Below are 1,228 nucleotides of genomic sequence, written 5' to 3' on the forward strand. Positions count from 1 at the left end.
AACAAGCTCTCTGCATACTAATCTCAGTCGCAGAGTCTGCTGCCCGAGTTACCCAAGCTATGGCACACTTTGAGTAGAAATAAGCTGGATATAGTAAGGAAGAAGGGGTGTCCATGTCAGGAAAGGCAAATTTTTCTCAGATACCCAGGAGAAATGTGATATGTCCAAATTGACAGAATTGTATTTCACAGCCACCCTTAACTACAAGTGAGACTGATAGCATACACTTTGGGCTGGATGTGTTGCCTTTTCACACAGAATATGAGATTACTACTTTTCCCAAAAAGTCCCCAGGAGACATCTGCACTGAAGAGAACTGAATTACCTGGCCATCATAAACAGCGAGGAAGACTGCAAAATGCCCTTTTTACCTGGATACACTGTCTCCACAAACAAAAATTGAAATTTTATTATTGAGAAAGAAGGCAAGATTGACGCTTGGATAAATATCAGTATATGTGATACATAAAGTAATGACATTGATAATTAATACTTACGGACATCTTACTATGTATCAGGTATTTTGCTATGCAGAGTTTTATATACTGGGTTATTTAGATTTCTCAGTAATCTTCTTATGAAACCCCCAAGATCTGTGGAACTCACAAGTTAATGTTTCTGTGTGTACATTAACACACTACTTATAATATTTTCTTTGGTAGGTCCCAAATAAGTTACAAAGAACTGTAAATGTCTTGTCATATATCCTTCTCATGATCAACAGTATGAGCTATTATTGCTAACCCCATTTAACAGATGATTAAACTGGGGCATATAAGGCTTAAATTGCATTATTGAGGCCACATAGCTGCCAAGATGAAAAACTGGGATTCGACCCACCTGTTTCTGACCCTTCAGCATATTCTTTTCAGAACCGCACTCCTCAAATCTTCTGCTCTGGTGAAGAGATTTCAGCTTTAGGACTACCCGTATTTTGTAAGTGACTCAGCAGTTCGTGCCCTTATATTCTAAGCCTTATGCTTGATGGCGTAGAATGAAAATTTTACTTGTTATCCTTGAAGAGTATATTCCGGTGGGAATAAACAGAAATGCAACTGCCACAGAGGATACAAGGTGATTGTTGCTATAATAGCAGTATGTAAACTTTATGGGGAAGGGAGGAACAATTAAATCAATCTAAGAACGTGAGTAACTTGGAGCTTGGAATCAAGTAACTTTAGGGCATTAATAAGATGATGTCTTCAGATCCCTTTAATTATGTCACAAC

The 1,228-nt window shown here is 37.9% G+C and overlaps 1 annotated feature.

The window, feature by feature from the left end:
* Positions 740-940: a silencer, noted in NCBI's record as "peak4279 fragment used in MPRA reporter construct". NCBI's record gives its function as "represses an SCP1 promoter by STARR-seq MPRAs in K562 erythroleukemia cells {active_cell/tissue: K562}" and the evidence as "EXISTENCE:reporter gene assay evidence [ECO:0000049][PMID:32103011]".

Source organism: Homo sapiens, chromosome 20 (assembly GCF_000001405.40).
Source record: "Homo sapiens chromosome 20, GRCh38.p14 Primary Assembly".
In the NCBI taxonomy this organism is placed as follows: domain Eukaryota; kingdom Metazoa; phylum Chordata; class Mammalia; order Primates; family Hominidae; genus Homo; species Homo sapiens.